General features: G+C 44.4%; 3 pseudogenes, besides 2 other annotated features; 2 read left to right on the forward strand and 1 right to left on the reverse strand.

The window, feature by feature from the left end:
• MEMO1P4 (MEMO1 pseudogene 4) lies at positions 915–1,285 on the forward strand (annotated as a pseudogene).
• RNU7-69P (RNA, U7 small nuclear 69 pseudogene) lies at positions 7,673–7,730 on the reverse strand (annotated as a pseudogene).
• Positions 13,570–14,362: an enhancer, noted in NCBI's record as "H3K27ac-H3K4me1 hESC enhancer chrX:122911827-122912619 (GRCh37/hg19 assembly coordinates)". NCBI's record gives its function as "activates a minimal SCP1, AML or CMV promoter by ChIP-STARR-seq in naive H9 embryonic stem cells {active_cell/tissue: H9 hESC(naive)}" and the evidence as "EXISTENCE:reporter gene assay evidence [ECO:0000049][PMID:30033119]".
• Positions 20,414–20,593: an enhancer, noted in NCBI's record as "active region_29910". NCBI's record gives its function as "activates an Ori minimal core promoter by ATAC-STARR-seq in GM12878 lymphoblastoid cells {active_cell/tissue: GM12878}" and the evidence as "EXISTENCE:reporter gene assay evidence [ECO:0000049][PMID:35858748]".
• Positions 20,602–21,044, forward strand: CHCHD2P1 (coiled-coil-helix-coiled-coil-helix domain containing 2 pseudogene 1; annotated as a pseudogene).

The raw sequence follows: 21,270 nt of genomic DNA on the forward strand, positions 1-21,270 counted from the left end.
GATAACATTGAAGTTATTTGTTCTTTAAAGGTTAGCTAAAATTGGCCAGGAGCAGCGGCTCACACCTGTAATCCCAGCACTTTGAGAGGCCGAGGTGGGAGGGTCACTTGAGCTCAGAAGTTCAAGACCAGCCTGAGGAACATAGTCTCTATTTTTTTTTTTTCTAATCAAAGCATTAAAAAAAAAAAAAAAAAAGGTTAGCTAAAACTTAGCTAAAACCCAACTAGACCTGGTGACTCTCCATTCTCTTCTGTGGTTATTGCTCTTTTCAGGTTCTCTACTTCTTGGGTCAATTTTGGTAGTTTATAGTTTGCTAGGAAACCAGTCATTTCTTCTACATATTCACATTTGTTACCCACAATAGTTTCTTAAAATTTTTATCATATGGCTGTGTTTTTATCGACTTGCTCATTACTAATATTTTTCCCTCCTTTCCCCTTCTTTCCTTCTTTTTTGTTTTTTTCTTCCTACCTTAGGCTAGCTGACAGTTTGTCTATTTTATTAGTCGTTTCAAAAAAAAAAAAAAGCCAAAAAACACCTGCTTTAGGGGCTGGGTGGGAGGGTCCAGTCCAGGGTAGAAAACTGGGTTAGTTGAGAGTCGGCAGATGAAGCCAGTGTGAGCCGAAGGAAAGGAGCGGCGGAGGCGGCTCAGCGGACTCAGCCCTGCCAAGGAGAATTCCTAGGGCGGGACCTAGAGTTTTCCGGGCCCCATCTTCCGACGTCGCCGCCCCGGATGTCATCTTATCCTCCTTTGTCTCCGCCTCCCCCCTCTCCTCCTCCCGCGCTGGGCTCGCGGTGCCTGGTTCCTCTTGGAGCCGCTTCTTCCGCCGCCGCCGCCGCCGCCGCCGCCGCCGCCGCCACTCGGTTCATCCTCCTGCACCAGATGGCCAATCGAGTGATCAGGCTGTACACAGTGGTAGTCAGTCTCAGGACCTCAACTGAAAGCACAGCTAGAAGGGCGACTTTCACAGGGTCGGTTAACAAAAAGATTCTAGAGCCATTATCGCACTCCATGGGTCTTTTTGTTGCTGGTGCTTATGGCCTTCCCATCATGTGTTCCCTGTCGATGTGCACTTTCTGGTATGGATAGACACAGGACACCTCTGTATGACCTCCCTATTGAGCAAAAGATGTATGGAGAATCAAAAATTGAACACAGTATGACATACATTGGCCTTATATTGTTAAAGCCATGGAGAACCATAAGGATGAGCTTACCACCATTTCTGTACTGGTTGGAACTTTCAGTGAGTCAAAAGAAGAGGAATACAGGAAACTCTACAATACGTAGCTAGTGCAGCACTATCCAATAGAAAGATAACATGAGCCAAAAATGTGAGCTATGAGTGTCATTTTGAATGCTCTTGTAGCTACATTAGAAAAAGTTAAACAGGTAAAATAAATCTTAATAGATTTATTATTATTATTAAGTCTCGTTCTGTGGCCCAGGCTGTTGTGCAGTGGCACGGTCTCAGCTCACTGCAACCTCTGCCTCCTGGGTTCAAGCAATTCTCCTGTCTCAGCCTCCTGAGAAGCTGGGACTACAGGTGCATGCCACCACACCTGGCTAATTTTTGTATTTTTAGTAGAGACGGGGTTTCACCATGTTGGTCAGGCTGGTCTCAAACTCCTGACCTCAGGTGATCCACCCACCTCAGCCTCCCAAAGTGTTGGGATTACAGGCGTGAGCCACCGTGCTCGGCCAAATCGTAATAGATTTAATATTATATATCCAAAATAGATCATAATCAATTAATATGAAAAATATGAGATATTTTACTTTTTTTTTTGCATTCTAAGTCTTTGAAATCTTGTCTGTTTACACTTACAACACATTTCCAATCAGATTAGCTTCGCTGCATTCCAGGTGCTCAATAACAACCACCATTTCGGACAGTGCAGTTTCTTCTATTTCTGCCATTGAGGTCAAAAGTTCTGGACAGTTACTCTGCTCAATCTTTAGGAGAGACTTAGAAATATATTGACTATCAAGCCAGGCACGGTGGCTTACGCTGATTTTGATCTTGGGGGACACTCAAACCTCAAACTAATAGAATGTTCTCTTGTTTTCTAGCAGGAGTAGCCCTTTTAAAATATGAATTGATTACAAATTTCTTCCTCGTTTAGGGCAGTGGAAGAAAGGCCAGCATGAAAATATGTTGATTTACAGTTCCCACCATGGCAGGCAGCCCTTTAAATGCTACTTGTTTTTTGCCTAATATATAATTTAATAGATCCTAAATATCCACTCTTTGAAAATTTGTGCACATGTATTCCACTTGAACAATTTTGCAAATTGCACAGAGACACAAAACGGTGGAAGCATTAATAGGTTGAATTTACTTTTTTAAAAGCCAGCTTTTGGGTTTTGGCTCTACGCATTTTTGTTTATTTTTGTGATAGAAACAGAGAGGCATTACTCAGATCCCACTTCATGAAGGCTCTCACTGTCCAGCTTCAAGGAGTTTGGTTAGCTGTTACTGCCATCAGCTGTTAGTAGCTCCAAGGTCAGACCACCTCAGTTTTTGAGCTGAAATCATCCTCAGGATGCCCATGGCTAATGATGGAGCAAAAGGAGGTATTGGGATATAGCCTTTTCTGCTCAATGCAGAACTCATCTGATGGACAATCTTTGCTCCAGAGCTCCCCATTGGACTGACAGAGACTTTCTCAGGTCTACATTGCAGTCGTACAACACCCCCTTCCCTTTTTTTCCGCAGACATTACTCCTCTATAAACCTTTCGTACCCTTAACTCCCTAGTATCTGTTTCCCTGACAACCCAACCTGTGACGAGTTTCTAGTTCACTCATTTGAGCTTTATCTTTCATTAATTCCCTATTTGTATTTTCTTTTGGATAATTTTGTGGCTTTGCAACTGTGTTTATAGTATATTACTCAGTGTACATATTTTCCACTTTTAATAATAAGAGCATTTATAGTGGAGTATTGCAAACTGCTGGATTTGAATGCTTTTAGGACAGTCATGTACTCTCCAATTCTCCATAGGCCCTTCCTCTACCTATTTTTACATCTAACCACTTCCTACATCTACATCACCTACATAGGCCCTGGACACATTTGTGATTCCTAATGTAAAGCTATACATTTTCTTCTAAATAGAGCCTTAGATGATCCCATAGGTTTTGTTATAAAGCATTTACCTTTTTGTTACTTCCTAAAAAATTTATAACTTCTGTCTTGATTTTCTCTTTTATCTAGGAGTTTTTTGGGGATTTGTGGGGTTTTTTTGTTTGCTTGTTTGTTTGAGATGGAGTCTCTCTCTGTAGCCTAGGCTGGAGTGCAGTGGCATGATCTCAGCTCACTGCAACCTCTGCCTCCCGGGTTCAAGTGATTCTCCTGCCTCCCAAGTAGCTGGGATTACAGGCGCATGCCACAACGCCCAGCTAAATTTTGTAATTTTTAGGTAGAGACAGTGTTTCGCCATGTTGGCCAGGCTGGTCTTGAACTCCTGGACTCAAGTGATCCACCTGCCTCAGCCTCCCAAAGCTCTGGGGTTTTGTTGTTGTTGTTGTTGTTTTGTCTTGTTTTTTAGAGACAGGTTCTAGCTCTGTCACCCAGGCTAGAGTACAGTGGCACAATCACGGCTCACTGCAGCTTTGACCTCCCAGGCTCAAGCAACCCTCCCACATCAGCCTCTAAAGTACAGGAATGCACCACCATGCTTGGCTACTTTTTTTTTTTTTGGAGATGGGGTCTCACTATGTTGCCTAGGCTTTGATCTTGAACAAAATTTTTGTAGAGACAGGAGTCACGCTATGTTGCCCAGACTGGTATCAAACTCCTGGTCTCAAGCAATCCTCCCACCTTGGCTTCCCAAAGCACTGAGAGTACAGGCACAAGCCATTGCACCCAGCCGTGATCTAGGGGTATCTAGGAGACTGTTCCTCAGTTTTTAAGTAGTAAAGATATTTTGACCATCTTCAATTATTTATTTTAAATTTTACTGGATTATAATGAGAATGTGTTGCCTCTACAAATCTCTGCTTCTTTAAATTCATGAAGTTTTCCTCTGTGAAGAAGCACACAGTTGATAGACATTAGAACATAATTTACATTAAAAATTTTTTTTCCGAGTTCCCAAGACCTGGAAAACAAAATAGTTTACATTTTAAAATGCGTGTGGAAATATACATATATATGATTATATGTTGAACTTGTTTGTCACATTATTCAGTCATCTATTTTCTAGCTTATTTTTCATCTACTTGATCATTCAAGTTCTGAAGGAGATATATTATAATCTCCCATTATGGTGGTGGTTTTCTATCAAAATCTTCTTGGGTTTCTGAGAGTTTGCTGTAAATATTAAGCTGTGATACTTCAGTACATAAAAGTTTGTGATTCATCACTTCAACAAGGATTGAACCATTTATGCCCCCTTTTCGTCTTAATGCATTTGATCTTGAATTCCACTTTTTTTTTTAATAAAGCTTGATGGCTTAAGCAACACATTTATAACCTCACAGTTTCTGTGAAGCCTAGAGTCCTGACCTAACTGGGTCTTCTGCTTCAGATTCTCTATAAGATTGCAATCAAGGTGTCCATTTAGGGTCTTTCACAGGCTGCAATCAAGGTGTCAGCTGGGGCTGCAGTCTTATCTCAAGGCTCACTGTGACAGGATGCACTTCCAAGATCACTCAAATCATTGCTGGAAGGATTCAGCTCCTTGCTGGCTGTTGGACTAAAGGCCCCAGTTCCTTGCCAGGGGGCCCTCTGCATCAGCGTAATCACTTAGGAAGAGCCAGAGACAGAATATGAGCAAGACACAGAAGCTACAGTCTTTTGTAACCTAACTATGAAAGTGACATCTCATCATTTTTGCCATGGCTCATTTGTTACAAGCAAGTCGCTGGGTCCAACACAAGAGGAGGGATTTACAAGAGGGTGAATATTGAAGAGGTGAGGATCATTGGGAGCCATTTTAGAAGCAGCCTACTACAGCTTGGTGCAGGATTTTTTTTTTTTTTTTTTGAGATGGAGTTTCACTCTTGTCACCCAGGCTGGAGTTCAATGGCACAATCTCAGCTCACTGCAACCTCTGCTTCCCGGGTTCAAGCGATTCTCCTGCCTCAGCCTCCTGAGTAGCTGGGATTACAGGTGTGCGCCACCATGCCCAGCTAATTTTTGTATTTTTAGTAGAGACGGGGTTTCACCATGTTGGCCAGGCTGGTCTCAAACTCCTGACCTCAGGTAATCCACCCACCTCGTCCTCCCAAAGTGCTGAGAATTATAGGCGTGAGCTACCTCGCCTGGCCTGGTACAGGATTTTTAGTTAGGAGTTCTTTTCTCCCAATTTTCTGCAGATGGTATTCCACTGTTTTCTACCTTTCTGTGTTGTAGATTTTTAAAACACAAAAAAACTAGCCAGGCATGGTGGTGCACACCTGTAGTTCCAGCTACTTGGGAGGATGAGGCAGGAGGATCACCTGAGCCTGGACATGTTGAGGCTGCAGTGACCTGTGATCATGCCACAGCACTCCAGCCTGGGTGACAGAGTGAGACCCTGAAAAAAAGTAAGAAAGAGAGAGAGAGAAGGAAGGAAGGAAGGAAGGAAGGAAGGAAGGAAGGAAGGAAGGAAGGAAGGAAGAAAGGAAGGAAGGAAAGGAAAGAAAGAAAAGAAAGAAAGAAAAAGAAAGAAAGAAAGAGAAAGAAAGAACAAAGACAAGACAAGACTGGGCTCGGTGGCTCACGCCTGTAATCCCAGCACTTTGGGAGACCGAGGCGGGCGGATCACGAGGTCAGGAGATCGAGACCATCCTGGCTAACACGGTGAAACCCTGTCTCTACTAAAATTACAAAAACTTAGCCAGGCGTGGTGGCAGGTGCCTGTAGTTCCAGCTACTCAGGAGGCTGAGGCAGGAGAATGGCGTGAACCTGGGAGGCGGAGCTTGCAGTGAGCCGAGATGGCGCCACTGCACTCCAGCCTGGGAGCGAGACTCTGTCAAAAAAAAAAAAAAAAAGAAGAAGAAGAAAAGAAGAAAGAGAGAAAGAGAGAGAGAGAAATAAATAAATAAATAAATAAATAAATAAATAAATAAATAAAGTGGTGTTACCAGAGCCCAAGAATCTGGGTTATCCAGCGCAAGCCTGTCTGGCAGGATCTGGGGTTATAGAGGAGCTGCAACCAGTACCAGACATATTACCCAAGACAGAGAGGAAGTTCTACAGAAATGTCCAAGCTTCTCCCTGTTCCCAGTCTTCAGCCTTTTACCAGTGCCTCCCAGTGGCCAAAGCTAGCTGGAAGCTAGAATGTGTTCTTTCTGTTTGGAAACTTACAAGGTTTTCTCTTTATACTTGGAATTCAAGGATTTCACAAGGATAAATTTTGATGTGTGTCTCTTTTCATTATCATTCATAAGACTCAGTGAACACTTTTAATCTGCGAACCCAAATCTTTCTTCAACTCAGGGAAATTTTCTTTTTTTTTTGAGACGGAGTCTTGCTCTGTCACCCAGGCTAGAGTGCAGTGGCGTGATGTCAGCTCACTGCAACCTCCGCCTCCCAGGTTCAAGTGATTCTCCTGCCTCAGCCTCCCAAGTAGCTGGGATTACAGGCGCCCACCACCGCGCCCGGCTAATTTTTGTATTTTTAGTAGAGACGGGGTTTCACCGTCTTGGCCAGGCTGGTCTCGAACTCCTGACCTCAGGTGATCCACCCGCCTCGGCCTCCCAAAGTGCTGGGATTACAGGCGTGAGCCATCGCGCCCAGCCCGGAAATTTTCTTCTATTATTTATCTAGTTAGGTTTTCGCTTTCTTATATTCACTTTATCCTTCTGGACTCCTGTCATTTTCACAACAGATCTCCTGAGTTTCTTAATCCTCAATGATTTCTATTTCTTTACATTTTTGTTCTCTGTTGAAAGCTATTTCTTCCGCTTGATCTTCCAGATTGCTAATTTGGTTCTCAGTTAAGGATCATCCTCTTTTCCAGTTTGTGCACTAATTTTTTTTTTAATTCTAAAATCATGTTTTCTAGTTCTAGATTGTCTTTTTTGTGCTCTAATTGCACATCCTTGAGAGCTTTTGTTACTTGTTTGTTACTTTATCATTTGACACACGTGTATATAATATACGCCAAGCACTGTTCTAAATATTTTACAAATATTAACTTGTTTAATCATTTACTAATTCTCTGTGACTCTTCCTGTGATTCTGCATCAATAGAAGCCATCTGTCTAGTTGTGTGAGTTAGTCTTCCTCCCTCTAGTTAATAAATGTCCTAAAATGGGTCATTTCTCCTTACCTGCTCATAGTTTTGACTTCTTAGCAGTTAGGTCAGATTAGGGTCTCCTGAGCAGTGGTAAACCAGTGAGTGGTGGAAGACTAAGCAGTTTTTGCTGTTGTAGGTGAGAAATCAACTAGATGAAGAGATATTATGCCTTTGCTGAGACGTAGGAAGGAAGCCTCTTTGCCCCAAGCCTCCCTGAGCATACGTGGCAATCTCTTCCAACCATAGGGGCTGAAAGTAATTCAGACCAGCAAAATAGTTTTCCTCAAGTTCCATCATGGTCATGTGAATCAGTCAGGTCCCTTAGGGCTTCAAGAAAGCAGGTGAGCAGGTTGAACCTTCATAGAACAGGCTTCATAGAGCAGAATCAGTCTTTGTTCCAGGTTTCTTTTTTTTTATTTTTTTATTTAAAATTTATTGAGGGCTTTCCTGTATTTACTGGAAAGCCTGCTAGACAAATTCTAAAAGAGCTGTAACACCCCCAGGTTTTAAGAGAGATACCCTGCCCTGGCCGGGCGCGGTGGCTCAAACCTGTAATCCCAGCACTTTGGGAGACTGAGGCAGGTGGATCACGAGGTCAGGAGATCGAGACCATCCTGGCTAACATGGTGAAACCCCATCTCTACTAAAAATACAAAAAATTAGCCGGGCGCCTGTAGTCCCAGCTACTTGGGAGGCTGAGGCAGGAGAATGGCTTGAACCTGGGAGGCAGAGCTTGCAGTGAGCCGAGATCGCACCACTGCACTCCAGCCTGGGCGACAGAGTGAGACTCCATCTCAAAAAAAAAAAAAAAAAAAAGAGAGAGATACCCCGCCCTCTACCACTATCCCTTGACTCTCTCTTGACACTAAGCAGATCGGACAGTCTCAGCCAATTCAGCAGGGGAACTCCAGAGCCAAAATTGCCTATTTGAAGTGTTTCACTGGCCAGGCGTGGTGGCTCACGCCTGTAATCCCAGCACTTTGGGAGGCCGAGGCGGGCGGATCACAAGGTCAGGAGATCGAGACCATCCTGGCTAACACGGTGAAACCCCGTCTCTACTAAAAATACAAAAAATTAGCCGGGTGTGGTGGCGGGTGCCTGCAGTCCCAGCTACTTGGGAGGCTGAGGCAGGAGAATGGCATGAACCCGGGAGGCGGAGCTTGCAGTGAGCCGAGATCACGCCACCGCACTCCAGCCTGGGCGACAGAGCGAGACTCCGTCTCAAAAAAAAAAAAAAAAAAAGAATGAGACCCTGTCACAAAAAAATTAATTATTTAATTAAATTAAAATTAAAATTAATTTTAAAAATAAAATAAAGTGTCCCACATTGGGCAGAAATGGTCAGATGCTAGCATCACTGCCATATGCAGTCATAGGCTGGACGCTGCTCAAATCTGCTCTCCATACCCACTAGAAAATCCTAAAAGAAATATAGCCTTAAATACAGTTTTTAGGCTCCATCACCTTACCTATCCTGGCTGTTGTGTTACTCTCCAGCAGGATTCAGGAGGAAGAGTGTGTCAGGAACATTTATTCAAGCTTTTATCTTCCCAGAACTTGAGGATACTATTTCTTTTTTTAACCTTCCATACTGTAGAAGCATTGCAGCCATGCTAATTTCAAAGAGAAGAATGAAAGAAAGTAGGAATAGCATTGCTACTGGTTTTCCAAGACCTAAAAGTTATGTCGTATTTCTCTAGTTTGGTCTTGAGATCTTTCTCTGCAGAGGGAGTGTAAACTCTAGCCCTGCCCTGATCAGGTTCCAGGGGATTGTTTGTCGATATTTACACTGTGCCTTTCACAGGATACTTCTTTATCCTAGCAGATGGCCTAATGCCTAGGTATCTGACCCATGGTCAGGTGTCCCTCTCATAGGAAACTTGTTTATACCGTCAACTGCCCTTGAGGCTCTTTTCTGACTTGTGTTCAGTTTATTCCTACCAAGATAGCCACTCTTTAGGAGAGCTTTCACTGGAAGTAAAATTAGGTCTGTGTGTGTCAGTCAGGTGAGGTACAGAGAAGACAACATAACAAAAACACATGAAAAAAACAAAAGCAGTTTATTACTCATAGATCCCAGAGAGAAGAAGGGTGCCAACAAGCAGATTGTCAAACCAGTGAGAGGGGAGTGAGAAACAGAGAAGACCTATGCAGTGAGTCATTCACTGGGGCCCAGGATACTACCAAATCAGAGTTCCCTTCCAATTGGTGGAGTTAGAGAAAGCAGACATGAGTTCTATGGGGTTGCATTGTGACAGAGTGGTCATTGCAGCATATCTGTAGAGTCCCTGTTGAGGGTAGAATAAATGGAGTGAGTCAAATGTGGTCACACCCGGCTAATTTTTGTATTTTTGGTAGAGACGGGGTTTTGCCACTTTGGCCAGTCTGGTCTCAAAATCCTGGCCTCAAGTGATCCGCCCGCCTCAGCCTCCCAATGTGCTGGGATTACAGGCATGAGCCATCACGCCTGGCCCAACATCTTAATGACTAAACTGAAATACTTGAAGCAGGGGTGGCAAACTCAAAGACTAGGGTCAAGCAGGTAAGTATGTGAAGGAAGGGACCAAGTATAACTACATAAGCATTCACTGTGTGAGTGGTAAGGATGGCAGCAAATTCCAGAAGGCAAGCTACTCAGCTCCAGCATACATTGCAGTCAAAAATGCAGTCTGAACCGGAGCCTACATTCTTTTTTTTTTTTTTGAGACGGAGTTTCGCTCTCGTTGCCCAGGCTGGAGTGCAATGGCATGATCTCTGCTCACTGCAACCTCCGCCTCCCAGGTTCAAGCTATTCTCCTGCCTCAGCCTCTCGAGTAGCTGGGATTATAGGCATGAGCCACCATGCCAGCTAATTTTTTGTATTTTTAGTAGAGACGGGGTTTCACTATGTTGGTCAGGCTGGTCTCGAACTTCTGACCTAGTGATCCACCCACCTCGGCCTCCCAAAGTGCTGGGATTACAGGCATGAGCCACTGCGCCTGGCCCAGAGCCTACATTCTTAACCACAGTGCAATGCAACCAACATTTAGGGCTGAACCTGTACCCATACCACCACTCACCATACAGTAAAAAGGCTGCAATAAGATGAGGAATTACGGCCGGGCATGGTGGCTCATGCCTGTAATCCCAGCACATTGGGAGGCCGAGGCAGGCAGATCACCTGAGGTCAGGAGGTCGAGACTAGCCTGGCCAACATGGTGAAACCTTATCCTACTAAAAATACAAATAGCCAGGGGTGGTGGCAGGTGCCTATAATCCCAGCTACTTGGGAGGCTGAGGCAGGAGGATCACTTGAACCTGGGAGGTGGAGGTTGTGGTGGGCCAAGATCATGCCATTGTACTCCATCCTGGGCAACAAGAGTGAAACTCCATCTCAAAAAAAAAAGAAAAAGAAAAAAAAGATGAGGAATTACATCACCACTCTTTTGATTAATCAAGAAAACCATAAGGTAGTACTACTGAGATCCCTACTCATAGCACCAGAATAAAGCCCATACCAACTTTCACCACATCAAGCAAAAGCACCTTTTTAAATCAAGGCCATCATCATACCATCACTTAATTTACTAGGAGCCAATCTCTGATACAACCATGACCTATATTCATATCAACATTTAGCCCTCCATGAGAAAGCATTAGCGAAGAAGAAGGTTTTTATCCCCACAATACCAAGAGAAAGCTGTGGCCACTCGATTTTCCTTGTGGACCTAGAAGTGTTCAAAAAAAATAGTTTATTAATCTTTTAAAAGTTTGAAAAACCTTTAAGTAGCAATTTATCTAATTCTTTTAATGGTTTTGTCATTTGTACTACGTGGATTACTATCAATTATTTAACCAACGCCCTATATTTAGGGCTTCTTCCTTCAAGTATTCATCGTTACAAATAATTCTGCAATGATCATTACTATGTATCCATCTTTAAGTATTTCTACAAGATATATTCACCAAAGTGTAGTTGCTAGATCAAAAGGTCTATACCAGCCCAGCATAGTGACTCACGCCTGTAATCTCGGCACTTTGGGAGGCCGAGGAGGGCGGATCACAAGGTCAGGAGTTCAAGACTAGCCTGGCTAGCATGGTGAAACCCTGTCTTTACTGAAAATACAAAAAATTAGCCGGGCATGGTGGCATGTGCCTGTAGTCCCAGCTACTTGGGGGGCTGAGGCAGGAGAATTGCTTGAACCCAGGAGGCAGAGGTTGTAGTTAGCCGATATTGCCCCACTGCACTCCACCCTGGATGACAGAGCGAGACTCCATCTCAAAAAAAAAAGAAAGGTCTATACCTTTAAAATGTTTATAGATATTGATAAAATGGCATCAAAATATTAACCCAATGTATAATCCTACAGACAGTGTTAAAAGAATGGCTATTTATCAATATTCAAGCCAACCCTGGAAACTGTCAATATTTCAAATCTTTACTAATCTGACAAATCAGATGAAATATTTTGATTAGCATTTATTTGGTTATTAATGAGGTTCAGTGTCTTTCATACATTAGCCATCTGTATATTCTCATAACCTTTGTCTATTTTTCTAATGCGTCATTGGTCATTGATTTGTAAGAATTTTTTTTGTATTAAGTAAATAAGGTTTTCTCTCTCATATGTAGTGCAAATATTTATTCACAATTTGTTTTTTAAAATCTTTATTTGTGCTGCCTTATGCCATGCAGATTTTTTTAAATGTAGTTGAATTTATGTCTTTTTTTCCTTTAAAGCTTCTTGGGGCCGGGAATTGTGGCTCATGTCTGAAATCCCAGCACTTGGGTAGGCTGAGGCAGGAAGATCGCTTGAGCCCTGGAGTTCAAGACCTGCCTGAGCAAAGTAGGGAAACCCTGTCTCTACAAAATTAAAAATTAAAAAAAAAAAAGCCGGGCATGGTGGCGCCCACCTGCAGTGTAGTCGCAGCTACTCAGGAGGCTGAGTTGGGTGGATAGCTTGAGCCCAAAAGGCCGAGGCTGCAGTGAGCTATGATCGCACCGTCGCACTCCACCCTGGAGACAGAGAAAGACCCCATCTCAAAAACAAACAAAGGAACAAACAAACAAAAAACTTGGCTTGTGTCATGCTTCGAAACCCCTCACCTGCTTTTTTCTTTGCTTGTTGTTGTTGTTGTTGCTGTTAAGAGATAAAGTCTCTCTGTAGCCCAGGCTGGAGTGCGGTGGTGTGATCACAGCTCGCTGTAGCCTGGAACTCCTGGGCTCAAGCAAGCCTCCTGCCTCAGCCTTCCGAGTAGCTGGAACTATAGGCACGCACCACCATAACCGCCTAATTTTTTAATTTTTTATTTATTTATTTTTTTTTGAGATGGAGTTTTTGCTCTGTTGCCCAGGCTGGAGTGCAGTGGCATGATCTCGGCTCACTGAAACCTCTGCCTCCTGGGTTCAAGCGATTCTCCTGCCTCAGCCTCCCAAGTAGCTGGGATTACAGGCGCCTGCCACCACACCCGGCAAATGTTTGTATTTTTACTAGAGACGAGGTTTCACCATGTTGGCCAGGCTGGTCTCGAACTCTTAACCTCAGGTGATCTACCCTCCTCGGCCTCCCAAAGTGCTAGGATTACAGGCGTGAGCCACCACGCCTGGCCGTGATCTACTTTTAATTTGGACTAGTGTAACTCCTTCATGCAATAAACTGAAAAGAGTCATTTTGTCTGTCAGGCCTCTGAGCCCAAGCTAAGCCATCATATCCCCTGTGACCTGCACGTATATATCCAGATGGCCTGAAGCAACTGAAGAATCACAAAAGAAGTGAAAATGGCCTGTTCCTGCCTTAACTGATGGCCTTACCTTGTGAAATTCCTTCTCCTGGCTCATCCTGGCTCAAAAGCTCCCCCACTGAGCACCTTGTGTCCCCCACCCCTGCCAGCCAGAGAACAACCCCCTTTGACTGTAATTTTCCACCACCTACCCAAATCCTATAAAACGGCCCCACCCCTATCTCCCTTCGCTGACTCTCTTTTCGGACTCAGCCTGCCTGCCCCCAGGTGATTAAAAAGCTTTATTGCTCACACAAAGCCTGTTTGGTAGTCTCTTTACAGCTCACACAAAGCCTGTTTGGTAGTCTCTTTACACGGACGCGCGTGAAATTGTCTATTCTTGAAGTACCTCATTTAAACAAAGGTCAAGGAGTAGGCACCTGGTAGTATCAAGCCTGAAACAAAGCAATAACGTGATGTTTCACCCAAGCCCAGAGTCCTAAGATCACAGACGACTAGGCTGTGTCTGGCAAGAAGCTCCTCAGCTCCCTCTCTGCAGTTCCCTGCCCTAAGCGAATGTCACCACCTGCTGAGAGCAACAGCAGCAGTACCACTAGAGGGAGCCTTTGGTGGTAAAAGAAAGATCCCCTGGTATCTCCAACCTAACCAAGAGGGCAGAGCTTAGAGAGGATACCTTCCCTTTGGTGAGGTGACAGGATATCTGGCTTGCCACAGATATCTTTTTTTTTTTTTTTTTTTTTTTGAGACGGAGTCTCGCTGTGTCCCCCAGGCTGGAGTGCAGTGGCGCGATCTCGGCTCACTACAAGCTCTGCCTCCCGGGTTCCCGCCATTATGCTGCCTCAGCCTCCCGAGTAGCTGGGACTACAGACGCCAGCCACCACGCCCGGCTAATTTTTTTGTATTTTTAGTAGAGACGGGGGTTTCACCGTGTTAGCCAAGATGGTCTCGATCTCCTCACCTCGTTATCCGCCCGCCTCGGCCTCCCAAAGTGCTGGGATTACAGGCGTGAGCCACCGCGCCCGGCCCACAAAGATCTTTTTGACCAGACATATGCTAGCTAAGGGATGTCCAAACACCAGAATGTGAAGCCAACCTTCCATCAGACTTAAACTTTTGACAGGAGAACAAATCTCAAACTGATGAATCAGTCATGTAGCTAGCTAGCTATAGAGCTTTCAACTTAAATTAGCAGCAGCTGCCCAATGCCATGTGAAGTAACAAACTGGTTTTTGGGTTTTTTTCCCTTTGGTTTTAATGTTATGTGTAATATATACATATATATATATATATATATATATATATTTTTTTTTTTTTTTTTTTTTTTTTTTTGGTTGAGACGGAGTCTTGCTCAGTCGCCCAGGCTGGAATGCAGTGGCGCGATCTCGGCTCACTGCAAGCTACGCCTCCCGGGTTCACGCCATTCTCCTGCCTCAGCCTCCCGAGTAGCTGGGACTACAGGCGCCCACCACCACACCCAGCTAATTTTTTTTGTATTTTTAGTAGAGACGGGGGTTTCACCATGTTAGCCAGGATGGTCTCGATCTCCTGACCTTGTGATCCAAAAAGTACTGTGCAGTTTTAAAATCAGAATGGTGATAAATATATAAATTAATTTGGGAATAATTACTACTTTTGCAAAATTCAATCCTTTGCTGTCCCTCTAGATTAATTTTAGTCTCTTTTTTTTTTTTTTTTTTTTTTGAGACAGAGTCTTGCTCTGTCGCCCAGGCTGGAGTTGGAGTGCAGTGGCGTGATCTCGGCTCACTGCAAGCTATGCCTCCCGGGTTCACGCCATTCTCCTGGCTCTCAGCCTCCCGAGTAGCTGGGACTACAGGCGCCCGCCATCATGTCTGGCTAATTTTTTTTTCTTTTTTTTTTTTTTTGTATTTTTTAGTAGAGACGGGGTTTCACCGTGTTAGCCAGGATGGTCTCGATCTCCTGACCTCATGATCCGCCCGCCTCGGCCTCCCAAAGTGCTGGGATTACAGGCGAGAGCCACCGCGCCCGGCCTAGTCTCCTTTATATAGGTGTTACACAATTTCTTCATTAATATCGTATTTATGAGTCACCTATAATGTGCAAGGCACTGTTTGTTCTTGTATGCTGGACATACAAGAATATGTCCCTGTTTTCATGAAGTTTACAATCTAGCTGGGGAGGGAGACAACATTTTTAAAAACAAGTAGCCGAGTGCGGTAGCTCACGCCTATAATCCTTGCACTTTGGGAGGCTGAGGCGGACGGATCATGAGGCTAGGAGTTTGAGACCAGCCTGACCAACATGGTGAAACCCCCTCTCTACTAAAAATACAAAAATTAGCCAGGCGTGGTGGTGCATGCCTGTAGTCCCAGCTACTCAGGAGGCTGAGGCGGGAGAATCGCTTGAACCCAGGAGGCAGAGGTTGCAGTGAGCCAAGATCGCACCACTGCACTCCAGCCTGAGCGACAGAATGAGAATCTGTCTCAAAATAAAACAAAATAAAATAAAATAAAATATGACAATTGGTGACAAGTGTTATAAGGAAAATAAACCTGGGTAAGAGCATAAAGAATAAAAGGAAAGGAATGCTATTTTACATAGGCTGATCAGGGAAGGCCTTTCTGATAGGTAACACTTCAGCAAAAACTTAAAGGAGGTGAATGAATCAGCCATGAGGATATCAAGGTAAAGAGCATTGCAGGCAGTAAGTACAAAGTCCTGAGGCTCAAGCATAACTGGCTTGTTTGAGGAACAGCAGGAAGCTAGTGTGACTGAAGTACAGGTGATAAGATCTGAGTGGTAACCAGGGATCAGGTTATATAAGTCCCTGTAGGTCATGGGAACGATTTTGGATTTTATTCTGAGTGGGTTTAAAAGACACTGGGAGGTTTTAAACTAAGAAGTGACATGTCTGATTTATTCTTTTAAAGGATCAGTCACTTTTATGAGGAGAATAGAATGGCAAAGGTGGAAGCTGGGAACTCAGTTAAATCCAGGAGATAGATGATGGTAGCTTGGGCCAGGGTGGTGGTGAGGGTAATTTGTGCTCAGAACAGAAAGAAGTGAGCCAGGGCCTCTTCCCTCCAGAGGCATTTACCAAGCAAAAGGTGTTCCTTAAGTGAGAGGGACACATGAGACAATGAGTTAGTGACCTGCAGCCACCAGGAAAGTAGACCCTGGACTCTGGATATCTCTCTCTCTGTGTGTGTGTGTCTCTGTCTCTGTCTCTCTCTCTCTCTCTCTCACACACACACACACACACACACACACTCTCTCTCTCTCTCTCTCTCTCTCTCTCTCAACTAGGATTCTGTTGTAGTCTTTGCTCCAGGGGTCATTTGCCCAGCCCAGGAAACAACTGATAGGCAAGCAGTGCTTTGGGGTGGACACTGGGAACTGAAGAAAGCAGCTGAAGCTGTCCACCAGCCAAAGGGGACTCCTAGTGCAAATTACACTCTTGTGCAGAGAGAACTCAAAGGACTACACTCTGGAATATGGAAACAAAAAATTCCTCAAGCTTTGTTTCCAGACCACTAATGCTTTCAGGTGAGTCATGACTAAGGCAAGCTTAGAGAGAGGCCAGAAACCCAGAGAGGTTAGCATAGCATGCAGGGATAGCTTTTAACCTTAAGGTGTTTGACCATTCCAAAGAGGTATGTGAGAAGCTGAGCTGCTCATTTGTTGGTTTATGGGGCTGGGGGACAAAAGGTGGAATCTAAGGTGTACTGTTCCCTGCTTTGGGTTTGGAAACTAGATAGCTACACCCTAGTAGTAAGGACGAACCAGAAGTAAATTAGCCTTCATGACCTCTATAGATCAGATTTATCATTTGAATGGCCCACAAAATACCAAGATTTAAACTTGGAATAAGGTAATCCCGTACTCTTCCCATACTATTAGTGCCCCAGGCACTTGGTAAGGAACAAAAAAATCCTTTCTGGGAAAAGATAATATTATTCCAAGTCTCAAATTATTTCTATAAATAATTCTTCAGGACCGGGCACAGCGGCTCACACCTGTAATCCCAGCACTTTGGAAGGCCAAGGCGGGTGGGTCACCGGAGGTAAGGAGTTCGATACCAGCCGGGCCAACATGGTGAAACCCCATCTCTACTAAAAATACAAAAATTAGCTGGGTATGTTGGCAGGCACCTGTAATCCCAGCTATTCGGGAAGCTGAGGCAGGAGAATTGCTTGAACCCAGGAGATGCAGTTGCAGTGAGTCAAGATCGCGCCACTGCACTCCAGCCTGGGCGACAAAAGCAAGACTCCATCTCAATAATAATAATAACAATAATTCTTCAAATAGGATATCCAACACATAACTAAGGATAATCAGGGGCCAGATGTGGTGGCTTACGCCTGTAATCCCAACACTTTGGGAGGCTGAGGTGGGCAGATCACGAGGTCAGGAGTTCGAGACCAGCCTGGCCATCATGGTGAAACCCCCGTCTCTACTAAAAATACAAAATTTAGCTGGGCGTGGTGGTGGGTACCAGTAATCCCAGCTACTTGAAAGGCTGAGGCAGGAGAATCATTTGAACTCGGGAGGCGGAGGTTGCAGTAAGCTGAGATCGTGCCATTGCACTCCAGCTTGGACAACAGGACGAGACTCCGTCTCAAAAAATAAATAAATAAATAAATAAATAAATAAATAAATAAATAACCAGAGCCAGGCACAGTGGCTCGTGCCTGTAATCCCAGCACTTTCAGGAGGCCGGGGAGGTGGCTCACTTGAGGTCAGGAGTTCAAGACCAGCACACCTGCAGTCCCAGCTACTCAGGAGGCTGAGGCATGAAAATTGCTTGAGCCTAGGAGGCAGAGGTTGCAGTGAGCCGAGATTGAGCCACTGCGCTCCATCGTGGGCAACAGAGTGAGACTCTCTCAAAAGAAAAAAGAAAAAAGATAACGAGACACACAGTGAGAGACAACAAAGATTGAGCAAGAAGCATCAGAAACAACAGACAATACAAATACATCTGCCATCCACTATGACTCTAGATACTGTTAAAACCCCTATTTAAATACTCCTTAAGGAATTAGAAACTGTAAGGTGATACTACAGATTTGAAAACAAACAAACCAACTGGCTGGGCGCATTGGCTCACGCCTGTAATCCCAGCACTTTGGGAGGCGAAGGCAGCAGGTGGATCACCTGAGGTCAGGAGTTCGAGACCAGCCTGGCCAACATGGTGAAACCCCATCTCTACTAAAAATACAAAAATTAGCCAGGTATGGTGGCACATGCCTGTGGTCCCACCTACTTGGGAGGTTGAGGTGGGAGGAGGATCACTTGAGCCCAGGAGGTTGAGGCTACAATGAGCCATGTTTGTACCACTGCACTCCAGGCTGGGCAACAGGGCAAGACCCTGTCTCAAAAAAGAAAAAGAAAAACTGTCAGTAGTAATAAAGTAGAATTTATTTAATCTTATAAAATAGCAAAATGGAATTTCCTTAATCTTAAAAGAAACCTAAAGCAAGCATCAAACTTAAAGAATAAATATTAAAAGCTTTCCCCTATTAATGAGGAATGAGACAATGATATCCATTATCACTATTTCTATTCAATATTTTACTAGGCACAAAACAGCAATAAAAAATAAAAAAATTAAAGGTAAAAATATTAAAGATTAGGGCTGGGCGCAGTGGCTCATGCTTGTAATCCCAGCACTTTGGGAGGCAGAGGCGGATGGATCCCTTGAGGTCAGGAGTTCGAAACCAGCATGACCAACATGGCGAAATTCCTCTACTAAATACAAAAAATTAGCCAGGCTTGATGGCGGGCGCCTGTAATCCCAGCTACTTGGGAGGCTAAAACAGGAGAATCCCTTGAACCCGGGAGGCAGGAGTTGCAGTGAGCTGAGATTGTGCCATTGCACTACAGCCTGGGCAACAAGCGCAAAACCTCGTCTCAAAAAAAAAAAAAAAAAAGAAAAAAAGAAAAAGAAAAAAGAAAAAGTACAGTAAATTATTATAATTAATTAGAGAGTTTAGCAAATTGCTGGATACAAAATTAGCATTCAAAAATAAATTATAGAAGTATTATAGAAGTAAATATTTGTGATCCTGGGATAGGAAATAGTTTCTTAGATAGAGCATCAAAAACACAAATGACAAAAGAAAAAAATAGATAAATAGGGCTTCATAAAAATTTAAAATTTTTGTACACCATAAGTCACCATCAAGAAAGTAAAAAGACAACCTACAGAATGGGAGAAAATATTTGCAAACCATATATCTGACAAGGGACTTTTATCTAGAATGTATAACCTTAACATTCAATAATCTTTAAAAAAAAAAAAGCCCAATTTGTTTTTTTGTTTTTTTTTTTGTTTGTTTTTTGTTTTTTGTTTTTTTTTGAGACGGAGGCTCACTCTGTCACCCAGGCTGGAGTGCAGTGGTGCGATCTCAGCTCACTGCAAGCTCCGCCTCCCAGGTTCACGCCATTCTCCTGCCTCAGCCTCCCGAGTAGCTGGGACTACAGGCGCCTGCCACCACGCCCAGCTAATTTTTTGTATTTTTAGTAGAGATGGGGTTTCACCGTGTTAGCCAGGATGGTCTCGATCTCCTGACCTCTTGATCTGCCCACCTTGGCCTCCCAAAGTGCTGGGATTACAGGTGAGAGCCACCACGCCCAGCCAAAAAAAAAAGCCCAATTTTCAAAAAGGGGCAAAGGGGCCGGGCACGGTGGCTCACGCCTGTAATCTCAGCACTTTGGGAGGCCAAGGCAGGGGGATCAGGAGGTCAGGAGTTCGAGACCAGCCTGGCCAAAGCGACCAGCCTGGCCAACATGGTGAAACCCTGTCTCTACTAAAAATACAAAAATTAGCCGGGCATGGTGGCAGTACCTGTAATCCCAGCTACTCGGGAGGCTGAGGCAGGAGAATTGCTTGAACCCAGGAGGCAGAGGTTGCAGTAAGCTGAGATTGCCCCATTGCACTCCAGCCTGGGCAACAGAGTGAGACTCCTACTCAAAAAAAAAAAAAAAAAAAAGTTGGCGGATGCGGGGACAGCAAAGGGCTTAAGTAGACATTTCTTCAAAGAAGATATACAAATGGCTGATAAAGACATTTAAAGATATTCAGGGCCAGACGTGGTGGCCCACATCTATAATCCCAGCACTTTGGGCTGCCAACGTGGGAGGATATCTTGAGCCCAGGAGTTCACGACCAGCCTGGGCAACATAGTGAGACTATCTCTACATAAAAACAAAAAATAAGGCTGGGCATGGTTGCTCACACCTGTAATCCCAGCAATTTGGGAGGCCGAGGCAGGCAGATCACCTGAGGTCAGGAGTTTGAGACCAGCCTGGCCAACGTGGCAAAACGCTGTCTCTACTAAAAACTACAAAAATTAGCCTGGCATGGTGGCGGGCGCCTGTAATCCCAGCTACTTGGGAGGCTGAGACAGGAGAATCGCTTGAACTTGGGAGGCCGAGGTTGCAGTGAGCCGAGATTGAGCCATTGCACTCCAGCCTGGGTGACAGAGCAAAACTCCATCTCAAAAATAAATGACTAAATAAAATAAAGATGTTCAACATCACTAATCACTAAGGAAATGCAAACCAAAACCACGAGATACCATTTTACATGCAGAAGAATGGCTATAATTTTAGAAAGATAGAGTTTCACAAGTCTAGACGCTGAGCCGCAGCACATTTGCAACGTCACGTGGAAGCTGAAACTGCACCTCCCACGTGGCCCCTCTAGCCAGCTGAGAACCTCAGATAAGAACTACACCCAGGCCAGCACCAGCAGCTCAGCCACTAGCAGCAGCCCCACCCTCTGCAGCTGGCTCTCCTGCTGCTGCACTCCGCGGCAGCCAGGTCTGATGGCCCGGGCGGCAATCACTGCAGCTGGCATGGCTGTGGACTCTGCTGTGGGGCACATACTGGGTCATGCCATCAGTGGGAGCTTCAGTGGAGTAAATAATGCTGAGCCCCCAAGTGGTGACATCACTTACCAGAAGCCTCAGGGAACCCACCCGGCACAGCAGCAGTAGGCTTTCTTGTATGAGATAAAATGGTTTTTGGAATGTGCCCAGAATCAGGGAGACATAAAGTTCTGTGAGGGTTTCCATGAGGTGGTGAAACAGTGCAGACTTGCAAATGGATTTATCTAATCAAGAAGTTCAAATTGAAGAAATGGAAAATCAGCTCTCACAACTAAGTTAATTTAGCATAAAAACATAATTGATAGCCGGGCGTGGTGGCTCACGCCTGTAATCCCAGCACTTTGGGAGGCCGAGGCAGGCGGATCACCTGAGGTGGGGAGTGCGAGACCAGCCTAACCAACATGGAGAAACTCCGTCTCTACTAAAAAAAAAAAAAATACGAAAA

This window comes from Homo sapiens, chromosome X, assembly GCF_000001405.40.
Source record: "Homo sapiens chromosome X, GRCh38.p14 Primary Assembly".
Lineage (NCBI taxonomy): Eukaryota > Metazoa > Chordata > Mammalia > Primates > Hominidae > Homo > Homo sapiens.